Source organism: Homo sapiens, chromosome 9, assembly GCF_000001405.40.
Source record: "Homo sapiens chromosome 9, GRCh38.p14 Primary Assembly".
Taxonomy (NCBI): Eukaryota; Metazoa; Chordata; class Mammalia; order Primates; family Hominidae; genus Homo; species Homo sapiens.
The window spans coordinates 122,445,031-122,467,591 of record NC_000009.12 but is presented as its reverse complement, the minus strand read 5'-3'; the positions used below and the strand labels follow the sequence as shown (position 1 = coordinate 122,467,591).

Here is a 22,561-nt window from a genome sequence, read left to right as displayed (position 1 = left end):
GGTACACTATGAATTTTGAAAATATCAGTGAATGATTTTGCCTTTAAAGAGACAGGTATTTGATTCAGCACTAAATGAGTGACATTATTTTTGTTTTCTGAACAGGGAATGACATAACAAATGACAGAATTGGGGGAGTCTGTTGAGTGAGGACAGTTTAGTTTATCAAATTCTAAAATTATTTCCCCCTCTTGGGAAAAAGAAATTTTAGCATGGTATTTTTCAAAAAAATCACATCCAAGGTGGTGGAGCGGGGCAGAATTAACAAGCAAAAGGTGTGGGTGTCTTGGAGAGAAGACCAAGATGGAAAGAAATGGGCTGTGAAACAAAAGTAGTCAGTGGCTTTTTGGAAACTCACCATTTGTAATCTTTTTATTACTCTGAGGCAGGGGCTGACTGAGGCTAGGGGGATTAAGGATGAAAAATATTGCTGTGGCATCAATGAGCACAGTTAAGACCACACTCCCAGCCGGATGTGGTGGCTCATGCCTGTAATCCCAGCACTTTGGGAGGCCAAGGCAGGTGGCTTATGAGGTCTGGAGTTCGAGACCAGTTGTTTGAAGCCCAACAAGGTGAAACCCCGTCTCTACTAAAAATACAAAAAAATTAGCTGGGCATGGTCGTGGGCACCTGTAATCCCAGCTACTCAGGAGGCTGAGCCAGGAGAATCGCTTGAACCCAGGAGGCAGAGGTTGCTGTGTGCCGAGATCGCACCACTGCACTCCAGCCTGGGAGATAAGAGAGAAACTCTGTCCCCCGCCAAAAAAAAAACACTCCTAATTTGAAGGATCATTTCACTCAGAAAATTAAGTGGGAGAAGTGGGAAAATCCCCCATAAGTCCTTGGAGCCCCTTCACTGAAAGTGGTCTCAGATGGGAGAAGAGATGGGGGAGTTGGGAATGAAATTCCCCCTTTCTCTTGCAGCAATCTCTCTTCCAGCCATCTGGAACGTTGGCACAGCCCAGGGAGTCTCTGCCTAGTGTTATGTCTGGGAGCCTCAGTTTGCTGTAATTGTAACATTACGAATGTTAGTGGTTTTTAGTACTGTCCTCAGGGGTGCAGGCAAGGTGATTTGCCAGATTAACCAAATCAGAAGTGGACATAGTTTTCCATTCCATGTGTACTCTTTTGACAAGCTGAGAAAGTTCTTGAGAAAGGCCATTTGCAAACTTAGAATTACAGCCTACTTGAGTAGATTCGGCATCCATAGGTAATCCAGAATTTTCTACAAATACAACCCGGAGCCAACTGTAATAGTCGTAATCTGGTTCATTAGGTTTTGGGTACAGTCTTGGATTTTATTCATCTCAGGTTTCAGGAAAAGCCTCAAGAATAGCCTCATGAAGTTTTGTTGTTTTTGTTTGTTTGTCTGCTTGCTTGCTCACTGTGCTTCAGGCTCTGTCATAGTCTTTTGGGGTATTCTTGCCTAAAGCCCTCTCAGGGTCACATCAAGGAGCCTGGGCCATTCAATATTGGGCCTGGCCTTCACAAAAAGTATATGAACCAACTGGCACAGGTAAGAAAAACCTGGATGATAAGTCGAAATTATAATACTGTGTTAATTTTATCAGCAAATTTGAAAGGTCTCCATGACCTTTGGGAATTCTGCGGCAATGGCTTAAAGTTCAGCCTTGCTCCAAGGAACAAAAGAAATTTAGGATTTAGAGGAATCATCAGTGAATTTAACTTTCAAGGGACAGGTTTTAACAGGACCAGGTTCAGGGGTAGTGGGAGCTGAGGAATCCAGAGGGAAAGGTAATTCACTCAAAGAAGAAATAGAGAGAAGGAACAGGGGAAAGAGAAGAGGAGGTCTCCTCCAACGAGGAACAAGTCTGGGATCCTCAAGCCTTGTCCTTCCTTAACTATTTGTTTGTCTCAGTTAATTTTGACATGGTATCTCATAAGGAGGCAATTGTAGAATCCTGAATGTACTTAGAAGCTTTGAGATACCAATTAAAGTATGTTTCCCATTCAGATTGCTTAATATTAGGACCACAGTCTTCTAATTTTGTTCTAACAAAACAAGTTTGGGGAGCTCAAATGCCCCCCAGTATGACCATTGAGGATCCAAATTAGTTTGGGTGTGCTATAGCTATTGATTTAAAATTGTACACAAGACAAAGGACCATAATTTTTAAAACATAGAGCCTGCAGGGGTCCCAGGAGGATTATAATTACGTGCTTTAGGATTTTGGGATCCCATTCTGCTTATTAATCTCTTGAGAGCAAAAGAAAAGCCCGAAGAGCAGAGCCCTGTCAGGGAATGATAGGCGTTTGGACTGGTGTTTTGTTTTACAGTGTGCCTGGCACCGGATTTTTGTTTTACTTGGCAAGCAATCTGCACTCTCATTGCCTGTCCCATGAGCAAGTTTTCCCCAGACGCGCAAAATTTTTCTTGAGACTGGCAGGCCCCCTAGTGGTAATTTGGCTGTTTGTGCACTAGTTTATCCTGACAAGAGATTTTTTTTCTTCGGATACTGACATCCCTCATAGAATGGTGGCAATTGCCCTAATGGCTTTTAAACGGCCAACTCGTGCCTACCTTTTGAGAAAGTAAATTTTTCTTTCAAAAGATGTTTAGAAATAGAGGAAGAAAAGAATCAAGCAGCAAATGAAAGTATAAGCATACACAAACAAGTCAGAACAAAACTGAAACCAAAAGTGCACTTACCAGGACCAGAAAGACAAACTGTCTTTCTAAAAGAAATAACTTTCCAAAAAAGACAAAAAGTCTTATATAGTCCCAAAAAGGATGCAAGGCATCTTAACCCAATCAGATCCTGAATAAGTCAATAGGGAGCTGCTACCAAAGGGAGGGAACGCAATCTGAGAGATGATTTACCTGGGCAGAAGAAAGATGATCCATGGAAGCTTAGATTGCCAAGGGCTCAATTGTGGTTACCTACCCAGTTCCTCACCCAGTTCCAAGAGTCACCAATCTTTTCCAAAGGTACTCTCACTTCAAGTGTACTTCCAATAGAGGGAAAATGGCGGATAGGAGGCAAAACTAACTTGCAGCCCCCACTAGGTCGGACAGAGTGGCATGTGTAGACACACACCATGAACTTTTGCTCTAAGAACTGCCACAAGAACATACCAGGAAAGCTGAAAGAATCCACAGACCCTTTGAGGGAGGTGGATTGCTGCTGCAGGCTCTGTGGGACAACTGAGGAACTGTGAGTTTGCTTGCTTTCTCAGCTGAGAGGCTTGGAGCCTGCAGAACATTCTCAGCCCTGCTCACCGGCTACCTAGAAATAAACTCGCTGCTGCTGGCGGGCGGTGGGGGCGGGGGAGCACCTTGGGAGTGAGACCAGCCTTTCAGGCTGTGGGCTGCATGGGATCTGGGTGAGACCTGTGACTGCCGGCTTTCCCCCACTTCCCTAGTGACCTGTGTGACACAGCAGAAGCAACCATAATTCCCCTGGGAACATAACTCCATTGGCCTGGGAACCACACTCCCAGCCCCCACAGCAGCCACAGCAAGCCTCACCAAAGGCGAGCCTGAGCTCAGACATGCCTAACCCTGCCCCTACCTGATGGTCTTTCTCTAGCTGACCTGGTAGCCAAAGACAAAGGACATAATCCCTTGAGAGCCCTATGGCCCCACCCCCTGCCTAATCTTCCCTATACTGATGTGCTGATGTGCTAATGTAGCTCATGTGCTCTTGAAAGCGCCACCTCCTGGCTGGAGGTCCACACAAAACCAGCACACTTAACAAAAATACAACCAAGGACCCTCACAGAGTCCACTTCACTCCCCTGCTACCTCCATTGGAGCAGGTGCTGGTTATCTGTGGCGGAGAGACCTGAAGAGGGATCACATCACAGGATTCTGCAGACACTCCCCTATACCAGCCCAGAGCCCAGTAGCTTCACTGGGTGGCTAGATTGAGAAGAGAAACAACAGTCACTGCAGTTTGGCTCTCAGGAGGCTCTATCTCAGGGGGAAAGGAGAGAGCACCACATCAAGGGAGCAACCCTGTGGGACAAAGGAATCTGAACAGCAGCCCTTGAGTTCCAAACTTCCCTCTGACATAGTCTACCCAAATGAGAAGGAACCAGAAAAACAGTGCTGGCAATATGACAAAACAAGGTTCTTTAACACCCCCAAAAGATCACACTAGCTCACCAGCAATGGATCCAAACCAAGGTGAAATCTCTGAAGTGCCAGAAAAAGAATTCAGAAGATCAGCTATTAAGCCAATCAGGGAGGCACCAGAGAAAGATGCAGTCCAACTTAAAGAAATCAAAAAAAGATACAGGATATGAATGGAAAAATCTCTAGTGAAATAGATAGCATAAATAAAAAATAATCATAACTTCTGAAAATGAAGGACACACTTAAGAGAAATGCAAAATGCACTGGAAATTCTCAGCAATACAATCAAATAAGTAGAAGAAAGAAAATCAGAGCTCAAAGACAAGGGTTTTGAATAAACCCACTCCTACAAAGACAAAGAAAAAAGAATTTAAAAAATGAACAAAGCCTCCAAGAAGTTTGGGGTTATGTTAAATAGCCAAAGCTAAGAATAATTGGTGTTCCCAAGACAGAAGAGAAATCTAAAAGTTTGGAAAATATATTTGAGAGAATAATTGAGGAAAAATTCCCCAGCTTTGCTAGAGATCTAGACATCTAAATACAAGAAGCTCAAAGAACACTGGGAAATGCATTGCAAAAAGATCATTGCCTTGGTACATAGTCATGAAGTTATCTAAGGTCAAGATGAAGGAAAGAATCTTAAGAGCTGCGAGGCAAAAGCATCATGTAATCTATAAAGGAAAACCTATCAGACAAACAGAGCAGATTTCTCAGAAGAAACCCTACAAGCTAGAAGAGTTTGGGGTCCTATTTTTAGCCTCCATAAACAAAACAATTATCAGCCAAGAATTTTGTATCCAGTGAAACTAAGATTCATAAATGAAGGAAAAATACAGTCTTTTTCAAACAAACAAATGCTAAGAGAATTCACCACTACCAAGCCAACACTACAAGAACTACTAAAAGTAGCTCAAATCTTAAAACAAATTATAAAAATACACCAGAATAGAATCTCCTTAAAGCATAAATCTCACAGGACCTATTAAACAACAAAACAATGAAAAACAAAAACAAGGATTTCATGCAACAAATAGAATGATGAATAGAATAGCATCTCACATCTCAATACTAATGTTGAATGTAAATAGTCTAAATGTTCCACTTAAAAGATACAGAATGGCAGAACGGATAGGAATTCACCAGCCAAGTATCTTCTGTCTTCAAGAGACTCATCCGTCACATAAGGACTCACATACACTTAAGGTCAAGGGATGGAAAAAGCTATTCCATGCAAATGGACACCAAAAGCAAGCAAGAGTAGTTATTTTTATGTCAAATAAAACAAACTTTAAAGCAACAACAGTTAAAAAGGCAAAGAAGGACATTATATAATGATAAAAGGACTAATCCAACAGGAAATATGACAATTCCACATATATATGCACCTAACACTAGAGCTCCCAAATGTATAAAACAATTACTACTAGACCTAAGGAATTAGATAGATGGCAACACAGTAATAGTGGGGGAATTTAACACTCTACTGGCAGCACTAGACAGGTCATCAAGACAGAAAGTTAGCAAAAAAACAATGGACTTAAACTATACCCTAGAACAAATGGACTTAACACATATTTACAGAACATTCTACCCAATAACTGCAGAATATATATTCTATTCATCAGCATATGGAACATTCTCCAAGAAAGACCATATGATAGACCACAAAACAAGTCTCAGTAGATTTAAGAAAACTGAAATTATAACAAGTACTCTCTCAAACCACAGTGGAATAAAATTGGAAATCAACTCCAAAAGAAATCCTCAAAACCATGCAAATACATGGTAATTAAATAACCCACTCCTGAATGATCATTGGGTCAACAATGAAATCAAGGTGGAAATTTAAAAATTCTTTGAACTAAATGATAATATGACAAAATCTATCAAACCCTCAGGGAAACAGCAAAGCAGTGACAAAAGGAGCGTTTATAGCATTAAATGCCTACATCAGAAAGTCTAAAAGAGCACAAATAGGCAATCTAAGGTCACACCTCATGTAACTGGAGAAACAATAACAATCCAAACCCAAACCCAGCAGAAGAAAAGAAATAACCAAGATCAGAGCAGAACTAAATGAAATTGAAACAAAAAAAAATACAAAAGATAGGATAATAACATGATTATCTCAATAGATGTACAAAAAGCATTTGACAAAAATCTAGTATCCCTTTATGATTAAAACCTCAGCAAAATCAAAACACAAGGGACATACCTTAAGGTAATAAAAGTCATCTAAGACAAACCCACAACCAACATTACACGGAATGGGGCAAAGCTGAAAGCATTCCACCTGAGAACTGGAACAAAACAAGGATGCCCACTTTCACCACTTCTATTCAACATAGTACTGGAAGTCCTAGCCAGAGCAATCAGACAAGAGAAAGAAATAAAGGGCATCCAAATCAGTAAAGAGGAAGTCAAACTATCACTGTTTGCTGATGATATGATTGTATACCTAGAAAACCCTAAAGACCCATCAAAAAAGCTCCTAGAACTGGTAAATAAATTTAGCAAAGTTTCAGGATGGAAAATTAATGTACATAAATCAGTAGCCCTGTTATACACCAAGAGGGACCAGCTGAGAATCAAATCAAGAACTCAACCTCTTTTACAATAGCTGCAAAATAAACAAATTAATAAAATACTTAGGAATATACCTAAGCAAGGACGTGAAAGACCTCTACAATGAAAACTACAAAACCCTGCTGAAAGAAATCATAGATGGCACAAATAAATGGAAACACATCCCATGTTCATGAGAATCAATATTGTGAAAATGACCATACCGCCCAAAGCAATCTACAAATTCAATGCAATTTCCATTAAAATAACACCATCATTCTTTACAGAACTAAATAAAACAATCCTAAAATTCATATGGAACCAAAAAAAGAGCACACATAGCCAAAGCAAAGCTAAGCAAAAAGAACAAATCTGGAGGCATTACATTACCTGACTTCAAACTATACTATAAGGCCATAGTCACCAAAACAGTATGGTACTGGTATAAAAACAGGCATATAGACCAAGGAAACAATAGAGAACCCAGAAATAAAGCCAAATATTTACAGTCAACCAATCTTTCACAAAGGAAACAAAAACATAAAGTGAGGAAAGGACACCCTATTCAACAAATCATGCTGGGATCATTGGCAAGCCACATGTAGAAAAATGAAGCTAGATCCTCATCTCTCACCTTATACAAAAATCAACTCAAGATGAATCAAGGACGTGAACACATATATACATCGAGGACTTAAATACCCATATAATATGTATATATGTGTGTGTGTGTGTATATATATATACACACACACACACACATATACATACCATGGAATACTGCTCAGCCATAAAAAGGAATGAAATAATGGCATTTGCAGCAACTTGGATGGAATTGGAGATCATTATTCTAACTGAAGTAACTTGGGAATGGAAAACCAAACATCGTATGTTGTCACTCATAAGTGGGAGCTAAGTTATGAGGATGCAAAGGCATAAGAATAATATTAGGTTGGTGCAAAAATAAGTATGGGTTTTACCATTATTTGCCATTAAAAGCGTCTTTTAATGGCAAAACCCGCAATTATTTTTGCACCAATCTAATTCAATAGACTTTGGAGACTCAAGGGAAAGGGTGGGAGGGGTGGAAGGGAGCAAAGACCACACATTGACTACAATGTACACTGTTCAGGTAATAGATGCATCAAAATCTCAGAAATCACCATTAAAGAAAATATTCATGTAACAAAACACCACCAATTCCCCCAAAAACTTATTGAAATTTTTTTAAAGAGTACTGACATCTCTCTGACATTAAAGAAATGTCCAACTACATTGAGTTCATTCAGAAATGAGAAATGAGGATTACAACCAGCGGTGCATGAACTGGTGCATCCAAAGAGGGAAGCATAAAGGGAAGCTTTTATTGGTTAAAAAGGGAAAGATTCATCTAAGCTGCTTAGAAACAGAGTTCACTGGTTTCAGAGGATCAAAGCTAGAGTCATCACTGGTTCATTGGTGAATATGCCATTACTGGGCAAGTGTCCTTTCAAGAGCATCTTATCGGAATTATTGCAATTCTATAGAATGTCTAGTAATAAACCTTGTTGTAGAAACATATGTAAATTCCTCAAAAAACTAAAAACTGAAATGTCATATGATCTAGCAATCTTATTGCTAGGTATCTATCCAAAATAAAAGAAATCAGGATGACAAAAAGATGTCTATCCTCCCATGTTTATTGCAGCACCACTCACAGTAGCCAAAATATGGAATCAATCTAAGTGTCCATCAACAGACAAATGGATAAAGAAAATTTGGAACATCATTTAGCCATAAAAAAGAATGAAATTCTGTCATTTGCAGCAACATGAATGAGCCTGGAGGATATTGTGTTAAGTGAAATAATCCAGGCACAGAAAGACAAATATTGCATGTTCTCACTCATATGGAGAAGTTTGAAAATTTGACCTCATGGAGGTAGAGTAGAATAGTGCAAAGGGTAGGGAGGATGAAAAGAGACAGATAAATTAAAGCATGGTTAGAAATAAGAATGAAAAATGAGAAAAAGAGCATATGAAATGTTGGAACATATTCAAAAGACAAAAAATATATGTAATTGAAGTTCAGAAAGAGAAAAGAAAAAAAAAAGCAGTTTAGGAGTAATATTTCATGAGACAATGGCTGACAGTTTTCCAAAAACTGACAAAAGCAACACCCCCCATGATATGGTTTGGCTGTGTACCCACCCAAATCTCATTTTGAATTGTAGCTCCCATAATTCCTACATGTCATGGGTGGGACCCAGTGGGAGGTAACAGAATTGGGGTGGGGAGTCTTTCCCATGCTGTTCTCGTGATAGTGAATAAGTCTCACGAGATACGATGGTTTTATAAAGGGCAATTCCCCTGCACATGCTCTCTTGCCTGCTGCCACGTACAACGTGCCTTGGCTTCTCCTTTGCCTTCCACCACGATTGTGAAGCCTCCCCAGCTATGTGGAACTGTGAGTCAATTAAACCTTTTTTTCTTTATAAATTACCCAGTCTTAGGTATGTCTTATTAGCACTGTGAGAATTAATACACCCCATAAAAAACTTTTTGAACCCATCAAAATAAATATACAGAAAACTAGACTTTAGCACACCACAATTCAACTAGTAAAAACCAAAGACAAAGAAAAATCATTAAAGTAGTTAAAAGAAAAACAAATTCCTTTCAAACATTCATTCCTGACAACTGACACGTTTCAACATGAATCCAAAAGACAAGGGAATAACATTTTAAGAGAATAAAAACTGTAACTACAAATTGTGGACACTAAAAGCACTGAAAATATCCTTCCAAATAAAGACAAATGAAGACATTTATTCAACACACCTATCCTAAAACAAATATTAAAGAAATTTCATCAGACAAAGGGGAAAATGTCCCAGCAGAAACAAGATCTAAAAAAATATGAAGAAAAACAAAAATATTAAACACAGCAAAAAATGAATGCTGACTGCACAATTATGGTTATCTATTGTACAGTCTTAAGTATAAGAAAAATTAAAAATGTATGAAAACAACAAAAATTACAGGAAAGGGTTTAATAGAGATAGAGTATTTTGTGGTTTTACAATTCTTTTTAAAGGGGTAGATGTTAGAAGTTGCATTAGACTAATAAGTCGCAAACAAAAAATGTACCATTTACCTATAATATAAAATTTCTATTTGGTGTTTTTTTCTAATTCCCATCCCTTTATTAATATTCTGTTTGGTAATGCATTGTTCTCATAGTTTCCTCTAGTTCTTTGTCCATGATTTCCTTAGTTCTTTGCCCATATTTTTTAAAGTTGATTTAAAATCTTTCACTAGTAAGTCCAATATCTGGGCTTCTTTCAGGACAATTCCTGTTGATTTTTTTCCCATGAATGGGCCATAGTTTCTTGTTTGAGAACTTTTTTTTTTTGCACACCTCGTAATTTTTATTTAAAACTGAATATTTTTCATATTATAATGTGCTAACTCTAGAAATCAAATTCTCCTCCATTTCCAGGGTTTATTGTTGCTGCTCATTGTCGGTAGTAGTAGTTTCTTTGATTAGTGATTTTTCTTTTTTTAATTTTGTCTTATTTTAAGTTCCAGGATACATGTGCAGGTTTGTTACATAGGCAAACGTGTGCCATGGTGGTTTGTTGCACCTATCAATCAGCCCATCACCTAGGTATTAAGCCTCATGTACGTTAGCTGTTTATCTTGATGCTCTCCCTTCCCCTGCCCCTGCCCTGAGAGGCCCCAGTGTGTGTTATTCCCTCCCTGTGTCCATGTATTCTCTTTGTTCAGCTCCCACTTATAAGTAAGAACATGCGGTATTTGGTTTTCTGTTCCTGTGTTAGTTTGCTGAAGATTGGCTTCCAGCTCCACCCATGTCCCTGCAAAGGACATGATCTCATTCCTTTTTATGGCTGCATAGTATTTCATGGTGTATACTTACCACATTTTTGTTATTGAGTCTATCACTGATGAGCATTTGGGTTGATTACATGTCTTTGCTATTGTGAGTAGTGCTGCAATGAACATACACACGCATGTATCTTTATAACAGAACAATTTATATTCCTTTGGTTATACATCCAGTAATGGGATTGCTGATCCAAATGATATTTCTGGTTCTAGGTCTTTGAGGAATTGCCACACTGTCTTCCACAATGGTTGAACTAATTTACATTCCCAGCAACAATGTAAAGTGTTCCTATTTCTCCACAGCCTCATCAGCATCTGTTGTTTCTTGACTTTTTAATAATCACCATTCTGACTGGCATGAGATGGTATCTCATTGTGGTTTTGATTTGCATTTCTCTAATGATCACTGATGTTGGATTAGTGACTTTTCTAAACTACTTTTATAAAGACTGTATTCTTTCGTGTGTGTGTTCCCTAAAGGTTCTGTTAGCTTAATGGTCAGCTAGTGATTTAACCATGATTCTCCTAGCTTCCTGGATCCAAAAAGAAAAGAAAAGAAAATTAAAGAATAAGATAAGATAAAATAAGAAAAAGAGAAAAACTGTTCCCCTGTCTTGGCAGATTGTCTCTGTGTTAGGGCACTCCTTCCATAGTTAGCTAGGTAATTTACAGCTCTGCCTTATCCCTTCACTTACTGCTTACATGGATCCTAGAGATTAGCCAGAGCTAAAAGCATAGGATCTCTTCCAATCTTTCTAGGCACGTGTTTATTCCTGAGCGCGCACATAGCCCTCTAGAGCTTTGTTATATGCAAGAGCTTATTACAGCCATTATTCCCCATTCATCTCCATCCCCAGACTCTTCCTCCCTAGTCAAAACAATATTGAAAAATAAGAACAAATTTGGAGGATTTATACTTCCTGACTTCAAAATATACTACAAAACTGCCGTCATAAAAAAATGTGTGCTACTAGCATAAGGATAAATAACTAGATCAACTGAATGGAATTGAGAGTTCAGAAATAAACTCATATATGTATGGTCAATTGATTTTTAACCTGGGTGCTAAGACCATTCAATGGAGAAAGAATAGTCTCTTCAACAAATGGTTCTGGGGTGATTGGATAGACACATAGAAAGTAATAAAGTTGAGCCCTTACTTCATAGGATATACAAAACTCAAAATAAACTAAAAACCTAAATATAAGAGCTAAAAGTATAAAATTTTTACAAAAAAATGAATAAATCTTTATCACCTTGAATTTGTCCAAGTTTCATAGACATGACACCAAAAACACAAGCCACAAAAGAAAAAAATAAAGTGAACGTTATCAAAATTAAAATCTTTTTTATATCAAAAGACAATATTGTGAGAGTGAAAACACAATTCACAAAATGGAAGAAAATATTTGTAAACCATATGTCTGATAAGGATATCGATATCTTATCCAGAATATATAAAGAGCTCTTATAACTCAACAACAAAAGACGAAGGGAAAAAATGTTTTAATGGGTAAAGAACATGAATAGGCATCCCTCCAAAGAAAATATGTAAATGGCCAACAAGCACATAGAAGATGCTCAGTGTCATTTGTCATTATGGAAATGCAAGACACAATGACAATAAAATATCACTTCATACCCCTTATCATGGCTATCAACAAAATGATAAACAAATAGTTCAAAGAAATTAAAACACTCATACACTGTTATTGGGAATGTAAAATGGTATGGACAGTGTGGACAATAGTTTATTCCTCAATCAGTTAAACAAAGATACAAGATGACCTAGCAACTCTACCCCTAGATGTATACCTAAAACAATTGAAAATAGGTATTCAAACAAAAACTTGCATCCAAATGTTCGTACCAGCACTACTAACAATAGCCAAAAAGTGGAAACAACACAAATGTTCATCAATGGATGCATGTATAAACAAAATGTGGCATCTTCATATAATGAAATATTACTCAGCCATAAATAGGAATGAAGTACTAGTACAGGCTAAACATGAATGAACCTTGAAAACATTATGTAAAGTGAAAGAAGCCGGACATAAAAGGCTTGCCTTTTTTTGTGTTTCATTTGTATAAAATATCCAAAACTGACAACTTTATAGAGGCAGAAGCAGTTTAGTGTTTGCTGGAGGCAAATTTGTTTTATTTAAAAAGAAACCTAAAGTTAAAGATAAACAAATAAATAACTTGACTGTGCATATTCCTAAACAAATAATGAGATGGATAGTGACTTCATCTCATGACGGCTGACCATAGGTGATGCGTCCCTCCCCTGTGAGACATTCCCATCTTCGTTTGCCTTTCTAGCCCTATGCCTTCTACCTGGTAATGGACACAAGAAGCAGTTCTGGAAAGCTTAATCTGCTACATGCCTGTAGAGGGCAGGATAGCTGAACCAGAGATGTCTACCCAGAGAAGCCCAGTCTGGATCAAGACAGGTAATAAATGGAAAGAGATCATAAAATGGGAAATAATACCTGGAAAGGAAGGTGACTTTTTTTTTTTTAGATCGAGTCTCACTCTGTCACCCAGGCTGGAGTGCAGTGGCATGATCTCAGCTCGCTGCAACCTCAGCCTAGAAGGTTCAAGCAATTCTCATATCTCAGCTTCCTGAGTAGCTGGGACTACAGACAGATGCCACCGCACCTGACTAATTTTTTGTATTTTTAGTAGAGACAGGGTTTCACTATATTGCCAGGCTGGTCTCAAACTCCTGGCCTCAAATGATCCACCCACCTCGGCCTCCCAAAGTGCTGGGATTACAGGCGTGAGCCACTGCACCCGGCCACTGGGAGTTGTCATTTTTATCTCAGGAGCAGGAGAACAATATTCTTAGCTGTTTCTCTCATATGTGGTGCTGATCATAGCCCATACAAGGAAATACCCCAAGATTTATTTCCCCTTGATAAGGAGGATTGGACCGAAGCCACATGGCAACAATTACCTGAGACCTTATGTACGAGATTTGGAGAGAAGACCTCAGAGTTCTTTGATGACCTGCCTAAGCAACAGTAGGTTGGGATTACTGTTTTAGTCACATTTTGTTCTTATGTGTATCATGCTGATTCACTGTAGCACTAAGAGGATTCCTGCCTTTGAACCTCACTGAACATACTGTGACTGTCAGCTAACAGCTCTGCATCATGTTGTTGTAACCCAAGATGACACTCCATTGTTAAAGCAAATACCTGGGTATGAGGGAGACATCATTGCAGTTGTCTGCCTAGCATATTGGAGTCTAGTTTGCCCTTTTAACTACAGCATATGGTAATGTGTTTGGAAAACAATACAGGCAGGCATTCAAAAAATCACAATGATGTCTGAGAGGTGAATATTGACATGACCTGGTTGTCACATACCAATGATGATCTCACCCTGGAATTTCCAATACGATGATTATGGGAAGCCTTTGGGATACTTGAACTGAACAGCCCCTGGGAACTGAGTATGATAACCCTACAATCTCTTGAGGGACACAGTACTTTTTAGATGCATGTAGTGTACTTGAATTAGTCTTGTATCACAAGTACTCATGGCTGCAACACTTGTGATCACAGACCCAGCATTGGTCCAGAGTACTAAGAGGGACTTAGGAGGTTGGGAACTTGGTTAAGCATGGCAAGTGGAAATGACTTTTCTGGAGACTCATGCTTGTGGTCTAAATGGTCACTAGGGGGAGTTCTCTCCCAGGAAACTCACTGAACTTGCATTTGGCCCAGAAATATGATGAAGCAATGTGCTAGGCCATTCTTGCATGGCTGTAAAGGAATACCTGAGACTGGGTAATTTATAAAGAAAAGAGGTTTAATTGGCTCATGGTTCTGCACACTGCACAAGCATGACACCAGCATCTGCTCAGCTTCCAGGGAGGCCTCGGGGAGTTTTACTCATAGTGGAAGGCAAAGCTGGAGCAGGCAGGTCACATGAAAAGGGCAGGAGCAAGGCGGGGATACGGGCAGGTGCCACACCCATTTTTTTTTTTTTTTTTTTTTTTGAGACGAAGCTTTGCTCTTGTTGCCCAGTCTGGAGTGCAATGGCGTGATCTCGGCTCACTGCAACCTCTGCCTCCCGGGTTCAAGCAATTCTCCTGGCTCAGCCTCCTGAGTAGCTGGGATTACAGGCATGCGCCACCACACCCAGCTAATTTTGTATTTTTAGTAGAGATGGGGTTTCACCATGTTGGTCAGGCTGGTCTTGAACTCCTGACCTCAGGTGATCCGCCAGCTTCGGCCTCCCAAAGTGCTGAGATTACAGGCGTGAGCCACTGTGTCCAGCCACCATACAATTTTTAAACAACCAAATTCAGGAGAACACACCCCCATGACCCAAACACCTCCCATCAGGCCCCACCTCCAATCCCCATGGGATTTCATTTCAGCATGAGATTTGAGCAGGACAAATATCCAAACCATATCACAGTATTTGAATGGACTATGCATGTTACCCAACTCGCTCAGCATCTTGCTTGTCAATAACTCCGGACAAGAATCCATATGCTCACCAGGGAAGGAATAATTGCCATGTCAACAGCAACAGCACCTGATATATTTAAATAGCAGTTGTGCTGCAGGCTCAAGCAAGAGGAGGTATGTTTATGGGAACACTATGGCCAACCTAACCTATGGCATATGGCAAGATGACTGGTAAGCATGCCATTTACTGCTACTCCCTCAGAGCAACAGTGTCAAAAAGTTGAAAGGAGTTTTGACTCTGTGATACAATTGGTATTACCTTGGATGACCCAAAGTTGATCCTTAACCGGCTCAAACTCTACCAATTGTGGACAGATGGGCAGTGCTCCACAGTGATACCTGGAACCTGAGTTACTCTAATACTTATTCCTTGGGCTGGGCGCGGTGACTCACACCTGTAATCCCAGCACCTTGGGAGGCTGAGGCAGGTGGATCACAAGGTCAGGAAATCAAGACCATCCTGGCCAACACGGTGAAACCCTGTCTCTACTAAAAATACAAAAAATTAGCCGGGCGTGGTGGCAGGCACCTGTAGTCCCAGTTACTCGGGAGGCTGAGGCAGGAGAATGGCGTGAACCCGGGAGGCGGAGCTTGCAGTGAGCCAACACCGCACTACTGCACTCCAGCCTGGGCGACAGAGCGAGACTCCGTCTCAAAGAAAAAAAAAATTACTCCTTGGTGGGTGAAGTGTAATTATGCCCCCAGACCAGAGGGAACCTGGACTTTACTGAGCAATGACCTCCAGTAATTACACCAGTTATGGGAAATGTGTATGAGAAAATGGTATTTTTGCTGAGAAGGCTAGGAAATTGACATGATTATATTAATGTCCTGAACATTGTCTAATCTTTCTGCTACAGGTAATAAAGAATTTGTAGGCTACTTTATAAAAAATAAATGAAAATGGTTGCCAGAATAAAAAGGTATTTTGAGAAGTCAAACTAAAACTTCCAGTTGATGCAATACTCATGGAGATCTATTGGCCAAAGAAAGAAGTAAATTTAGCTTTTAAAAAGTGACATATGCAGCTCAACACCTCTGTTGAAGCCTGTAAAAATGCAGGTGAGGCCAGGCATGGTGGCTCACGCCTGTAATCCCAGCACTTTGGGAGGCCAAGGCTGGAGGATCACCTGAGGTTGGGAATTGGAGACCAGCCTGACCAACATGGAGAAACCCCATCTCTACTAAAAATACAAAATTAGCTGGGCTTGGTGGCGCATGCCTGTAATCCCAGCTACTCACGAGGCCGAGGCAGGAGAATCACTTGAACCCGGGTGGTGTAGGTTGCAGTGAGCTGAGATCGCGCCATTGCACTCCAGCCTGGGTAACAAGAGCGAAACTCCATCTCAAAATAATAATAATAATAATAATAATAATAATAATAATAATAATAATAATGCAGGTGATAGTGGAGAAAAAGGGAAGAGAGAAGATAGTCCAACTAAAAAAGATATATCAGAAATTTTTAAGTAAATATACTCATGGCTCAATGTGATTCTTGGGAAAGAATTCCAACTGCTCATTGAATAATATGGTCCTCATGGTTGCAGAGTTTTAAAATGTATTTTTGTGCATAAAATGTTATAGAAGTTACTACATTAAGGATCACTTTCTAAACTAGGTGATTTTGTCATTTGTGACAACATGGGTGAATCTAGGAGACATTATATTAAGTGAAATAAGCCAGGCACAGAAAAGCAGATACCACATGATCTCACTTATATGTGAAATCTAAAACAGTCAAATTCATAGAAGTAAAGAGTAGAACAGTGGTTAGCAGAGGAGGGGGATGGGGGAATGGACAGGGAAAAGCAAAACACTGCTTAAAGGGTACATAGTTTCCGTTCAACAGGAGGACTGGTTCCGGGATTTGTTGCACAGTATGATGACTATAGTGAACACCAACGTATTACAGATTTCAAAATGGCTGAAAGAGTAGATTTTAGATGTTCTCACCACAAAGAAATGATAAGCATTTGAGGTGATTATATGATAATTAGCTTGACTTGATCATTACATAATGTGTACGTGTGTAGAAACATCACATTATACCCTCACAAATATATATGTTTATTATTTGTCAATTACAATTAAATAAAACTTTTTAAAGATTTTTTTTTGAGACAGTGTCTTGCTCTGTCACCCAGGCTGGAGTGCAGAAGTGCAATCTTGGCTCACTGCAACCTCCACCTTCCAGGTTCAAGTGATTTGCGTGCCTCAGCCGCCCTAGTAGCTGGGACTACAGGTGTGCACCACCAAGCGCAGCTAATTTTTGTATTTTTAGTAGAGACGGAGTTTCGCCACGTTGCCTAGGCTGGTCTCAAACTCCTGGTGTCAAGTGATCTGCCCATCTCAGCCTCCCAAATTGCTGAGAATTACAGGCATGAGCCACCATGCACGGCCAAGAATTATTTTTTAAATGATAAGTAGATGAAATGTTAGATATGGTAATTAGCTTGATTTAACCTTTCTACAATGTATACATAGATCAAAACATCACATTGTACCACATAAATATATACAATTATTATTTGTCAATTAATATATATAATTATCTTTTAAATGCCCAAGGAACATATGGCAAAGAAGTATTGACAAAAGTCAGAGGTAAACTGGGAGGAAAGATTAACAGATGGAGTATAATCTTTTTTTCAGCCTCAAGAAAACCTGAGGACTTGACTCTCAGTTTTATTTCACGCAACAGTAATTCAAAGAATGTACAGCATACCCGATCTATGATAAACTAGGATCCGGCTATATAGTGAACCAGCATGCTGCACCTCTTTGTTGATTTGTTAACTAGTAACTGGATAACCAGCAATTGCTAGTAATTGACAAGAGGCAGCTGCACAGAAAAATGATAGATAGAAATACATCTCATAGGCCGGGCGCGGTGGCTCATGCCTGTAATCCCAGCACTTTGGAAGGCCGAGGCGGAAGGATCACGAGGTCAGGAGATCGAGACCATCCTGGCTAACATGGCGAAAACCTGTCTCTACTAAAAATACAAAAAATTAGCTGGGCATGGTGGTGGGCACCTGTAGTCCCAGCTACTCGGGAGGCTGAGGCAGGAGAATGGCGTGAACCCAGGAGGCAGAGCTTGCAGTAAGCCGAGATCGCACCACTGCACTCCAGCCTGGGCGACAGAGCGAGACTCTGTCTCAGAAAAAAATAAACTAAAATAAAGAAATACATCTCAGAGAGGGCTACATGACCATCAAGATGTAAAAGCCAAACAAGCCCCAGATCTGGTGCAATGCCCAAGCTGAGATAGTCTGGCTGTCTCTGTGACCATTCATATTCCAGTGTGAAATGATTGTAGATACAGGAAGATGAGCAGAGGATAAGCAAGGCCTCCACGGTGCTGTTGCAGTGCATAGTGTGGTGCCCATCATTTGTACTACTGTAAAGCTATATAAATTGTGGTGCTGGGTGAAGCCTGTTGTGTCTCATCAATCCCTACATAAGACCCCGCCTTCCCACTGATTTTGTATACTCACCTTGCAGAAACGTCATCTTGTTCTTACCCTACTTTTTTTTTTTACTTATTATCGCTTGTTTTTTTTTTTTTTTTTTGTAGACACGGCGTCTTGCTCTGTTGCCCAAGCTGGTCTCAAACTCCTGGGTGTATGGAAAAGAAAGAGAGGTCAGACTGTTACTGTGTCTATGTAGAAAGGAAGACATAAGAAACTCCATTTTGACTTGTACCCTGAAAAATTGTTTTGCCTTGAGATGCTGTTAATCTGTAACTTTGCCCCAACTTTGAGCTCACAGAAACATGTGTTGTATGGAATCAAGGTTTAAGGGATCTAGGGCTGTGCAGGATGTGCCTTGTTAACAGTATGTTTACAGGCAGTATGCTGGGTAAAAGTCATCACCATTCTCCATTCTCGAGTAACCAGGAGCACAATGCACTGCAGAAAGCCGCAGGGACCTCTGCCCAGGAAAGCCAGGTATTGTCCAAGGTTTCTCCCTACTGAGATAGCCTGGATATGGCCTCTTGGGATGGGAAAGACCTAACCATCCCCCAGCCTGACGCCCGTGAAGGGTCTGTGATGAGGAGGATTAGTAAAAGAGGAAGGCCTCTTGCAGTTGAGATAAGAGGAAGGCCTCCGTCTCCTGCCTGCCCCTGGGAACTGAATGTCTCAGTATAAAACCCGATTGTACATTTGTTCTATTCTGAGGTAGGAGAAAAACTGCCCTATGGTGGGAGGCAAGACGTGCTGGCAGCAATACTGCTCTGTTACTCTTTACTCCACTAAGATGTTTAGGTGGAGAAAAGCATAAATCTGGCCTACGTGTATATCCACGCATAGTACCTTCCCTTGAATTTATTTGTGACACAGATTCCTTTGCACATATGTTTTCTTGGTGACCTTCTCCCCACTATCACCCTGTTCTCCTGCCGCATTCCCCTTGCTGAGATAGTGAAAATAGTAATCAATAAATACTGAGGGAACTCAGAGACCGGTGCCAGTGCAAGTCCTCCGCAGGCTGAGTGCCAGTTCCCTAGGCCCACTGTTCTTTCTCTATACTTTGTCTCTGTGTCTTATTTCTTTTCTCAGTCTCTCATCCCACCTGACAAGAAATACCCACAGGTGTGCAGGGGCTGGCTCCCTTCATCGGGCTCAACCAATCCTCCCGCCTTGGTCTTCCAAAGTGCTGAGATTACAGATGTGAGCCACAGCACTCAGCCTCGACTATTTTTAATTTATTTTATCTTGTCTGTTGTATGTATCCTTCTAAACAACCCTATTGTTTTTAGAACAGGATGAGACAGAAAAAGAAAAGAAAGAGAAGGAAGGAAGAAAGGAAAGGAGAGAGCAAATAAGGAAAGGAAGGAGGAGCGGAGGAAAGAAACCCAGCCAGTCAAGCACTTGGCTTGTTTTTTTTTTCATGTGAATCTGGAGCATCTCAGAATGCAACTTCCAGGAATCCCAAAGTATAGATTAACAGAAAGTCTAGTGTCTCTCCTGAACAAGCCCTTGTCTCATTTGATACGTACAGAGATACTTGAGTATGCTTCCCAGTATCCATAGGGCCAGGATTTCATTTTCCCTCTTTGACCAAAAGACAGAGGTGCTCCATAGAAGACAGATGACTCCATGCCCAGTAACAGAGGCTACAAGAATTAAAGAAAGAAGAAAGAAACACAAAAAGTGGCTCAACAGTCAAAGAGAGGTTTATTTTGGAGAATAAACCTGAGAGGGGCTTCTGGCCAAGTTAGGTCAGAGGCATTCTCTCTTACAGACTGAGAGGTTTTAAGGGTTCAAGGCAGAAGAGCTTATCACGGGCTTGGAATGTTTGTCTGTCTTGCTTATCTGGGAGGGAGGGTTTTTGTGTCTGTTCCCACACATCTTCCTGCAGCTGCAGGCATACCCCCTGAGTCTGCTTTTAGCTTCCCTATCTTCGTGCACCTAAAGGGAAAGGAATGTACTTATTAGGACCCACTGTTTTACTGGGGCCCATTGTGAGTGTGAAGTTTGGTGGTTACCCAAGAGACTTTCCCCCTCTCTCTGTGCCCAAGCTGTCTTATCTGTGTTTTACCGTCTGCTCTTTCTGGCTGCTTATTGTTAGAAGATAAGTGATTTCCTTGAAATGCATGAGGTTAGAAAGGGAGCTGGAACTTAAAGTGGAGCTGTTTGTCCAAGATAACAGTACTCCTGCTCTGTCAGAGGCCAGTAACTGGAAGGAGCTGGAGGGCCACTATTGCAACTAAAACTGGAACAATTCTTAGAGTTTCCCCAATAGATAAATCATGTAAAACTATTCTTACTACATGCTGAAAATTCAGCACTTAAAGAGCCCCCGACATTGTCAATATCCCGAGAATCCAAAGAACCTGATAGAATTTGTAAACCAACATAACTCTAATCTACCTTCATCACTTGTCCCTGGACTAGCATAAATACACACACACACACACGCACACACACACAACCAAGCCACACTATTCCATTACCTGAAAACTATTGTCCCCCAATATTAAGCTATCCCATACCAAAAGACAAAATAGCATTTCACTTTTATAGACATCCCTCATATTCCAAAATACTCACTCCTGTTCCTCAACCTGAGTTACCTACAAATGGGGAAGCTGAGTCACACCTCTGAGATATGACCATGAAAGCTCTGGGAATATTCTCAGTACTAGGGAAGAGGCAATGACATGCTCCATCTCCTTGGGCTGTCCTTTGCTTGCTAAGCTTGGAAAAGGTTGACCAGGCATGATGGCTCACGCCTGTAATCCCAGCAATTTGGGAGACCAAGGCGGGTGGATCATTTGAGCCCAAAAGTTTGAGACCAGCCTAGGCAACATGGCAAAACCCTGTCTGTACCAAAAAAAAATGCAAAAATTAGCCAAGTGTGGTGGCACATGTCTGTAGTTACAGCTACTCAGGAGGCTGAGGTGAGAGGCTCACTTGAGTCCAGGAGGCAGAGGTTGCAGTGAGCGGAGATCACTTCACTGCACTCCAGCCTGGGTGACAGAGCCAGACTCTATCTCAGAGAAAAAAAAAAGAAACAAACAAAACAAAACAAAACAAATTGGAGAAGTCATAGAGCAGAGTTCCCTGAGGGAAGAGCTGGGAGAGAGACTACCCTGTTCCCTTGGAGCACAAAGGGCCCTAAGGAGGCCTGGCAAAGGAAGGTTAAAGCATTACAGTTGGGACAGGGTCTCCAGACCACACAGGTCCTCACTCAGTGGTTCTGGGTCACTCTGTCTGCTAGGATGGGAAGTTAGGATGGTGCTGGGGACCAGAGGTGGGGAATGAGTCAGGGATCTGAAGCAGTATCAGGAAAACCTATGACCACTGTCACTCTGCTTCCCTCTTCTTGTATCCTTGTTCTCCCCTAGGGAGTTAATGAGTGGGAAATGTCAGGTGGCTGGAGCCTTCAGCTGAAGTGTGGTTTCTGAATAAATTTGCAGACACAGTGTGGAAAAGGCTTCTGCTTCTGGACAGTGGAAATAAAACATCTGGACACAGGAGGCGCCATGACTAAATAGCCCCGTCTATCATGTATGCCTTCCTCACTGCCCTCCATGGGAGAATGGTGGGTTCCAAAATGTCCATGAGTCAAACATGGGCAAAAAATCACTCTGAGTGTTTTGATAAGACCCCAGTGAATCAGGAAAGGCTTATTCATGTGTTATTGTCCAAATGAACCCAATGAAATCAAGCACTATCCATGTGTACAGAAAGGAATGAGGGGTCACTATGACTAAACCTCTGATTTTTACATGTTTGGTTAATCTAAGTGCAGACCAGGCAGGCTTCCAAGATTTAGCTATGACTGGTTACTTTACTAAAATATTTTCTCTTCCTCATAGTATAAATACTAACATTTGGGGATGGGGATGTTGACCACCTGCTGGGCATTGTGCTTTAACATGCTTTTGTTCAGCAAATCTTCTCAACTTTGAGATAGGTACTCCCATTGTCCCCACTTCACAGATGGAGAAACCGTGTCACAGAGAGGTTAGGTGACTTGCCCTAGATCACTTGCCTGATAAGAGGCAG

At 40.7% G+C, this 22,561-nt stretch overlaps 1 protein-coding gene across 6 annotated transcripts in view, besides 2 other annotated features; it reads right to left on the bottom strand.

The window, feature by feature from the left end:
• Nucleotides 1-20,159, bottom strand: part of OR1J2 (olfactory receptor family 1 subfamily J member 2) — a 132,995-nt gene extending 112,836 nt beyond the window's left edge. For 3 of the 6 annotated variants that reach the window (XR_007061274.1, XR_007061272.1, XR_007061273.1), the window contains exons 1-2: nucleotides 20,047-20,159; nucleotides 18,542-18,662 (exon numbers count right to left, since the gene is read on the bottom strand). The gene's annotated coding sequence lies outside the window, so the exon portion shown is untranslated. Of the gene's footprint in view, nucleotides 1-2,842; nucleotides 3,612-18,541; nucleotides 18,663-20,046 lie in introns of those variants that run through there. The other 3 variants (XR_007061276.1, XR_007061275.1, XR_007061271.1) reach the window with 2 other exon arrangements.
• Nucleotides 2,300-2,349: a silencer, noted in NCBI's record as "silent region_20241". NCBI's record gives its function as "represses an Ori minimal core promoter by ATAC-STARR-seq in GM12878 lymphoblastoid cells {active_cell/tissue: GM12878}" and the evidence as "EXISTENCE:reporter gene assay evidence [ECO:0000049][PMID:35858748]".
• Nucleotides 3,341-3,842: an enhancer, noted in NCBI's record as "H3K4me1 hESC enhancer chr9:125226029-125226530 (GRCh37/hg19 assembly coordinates)". NCBI's record gives its function as "activates a minimal SCP1, AML or CMV promoter by ChIP-STARR-seq in naive H9 embryonic stem cells {active_cell/tissue: H9 hESC(naive)}" and the evidence as "EXISTENCE:reporter gene assay evidence [ECO:0000049][PMID:30033119]".
• Nucleotides 20,160-22,561: the final 2,402 nt, after the last annotated feature.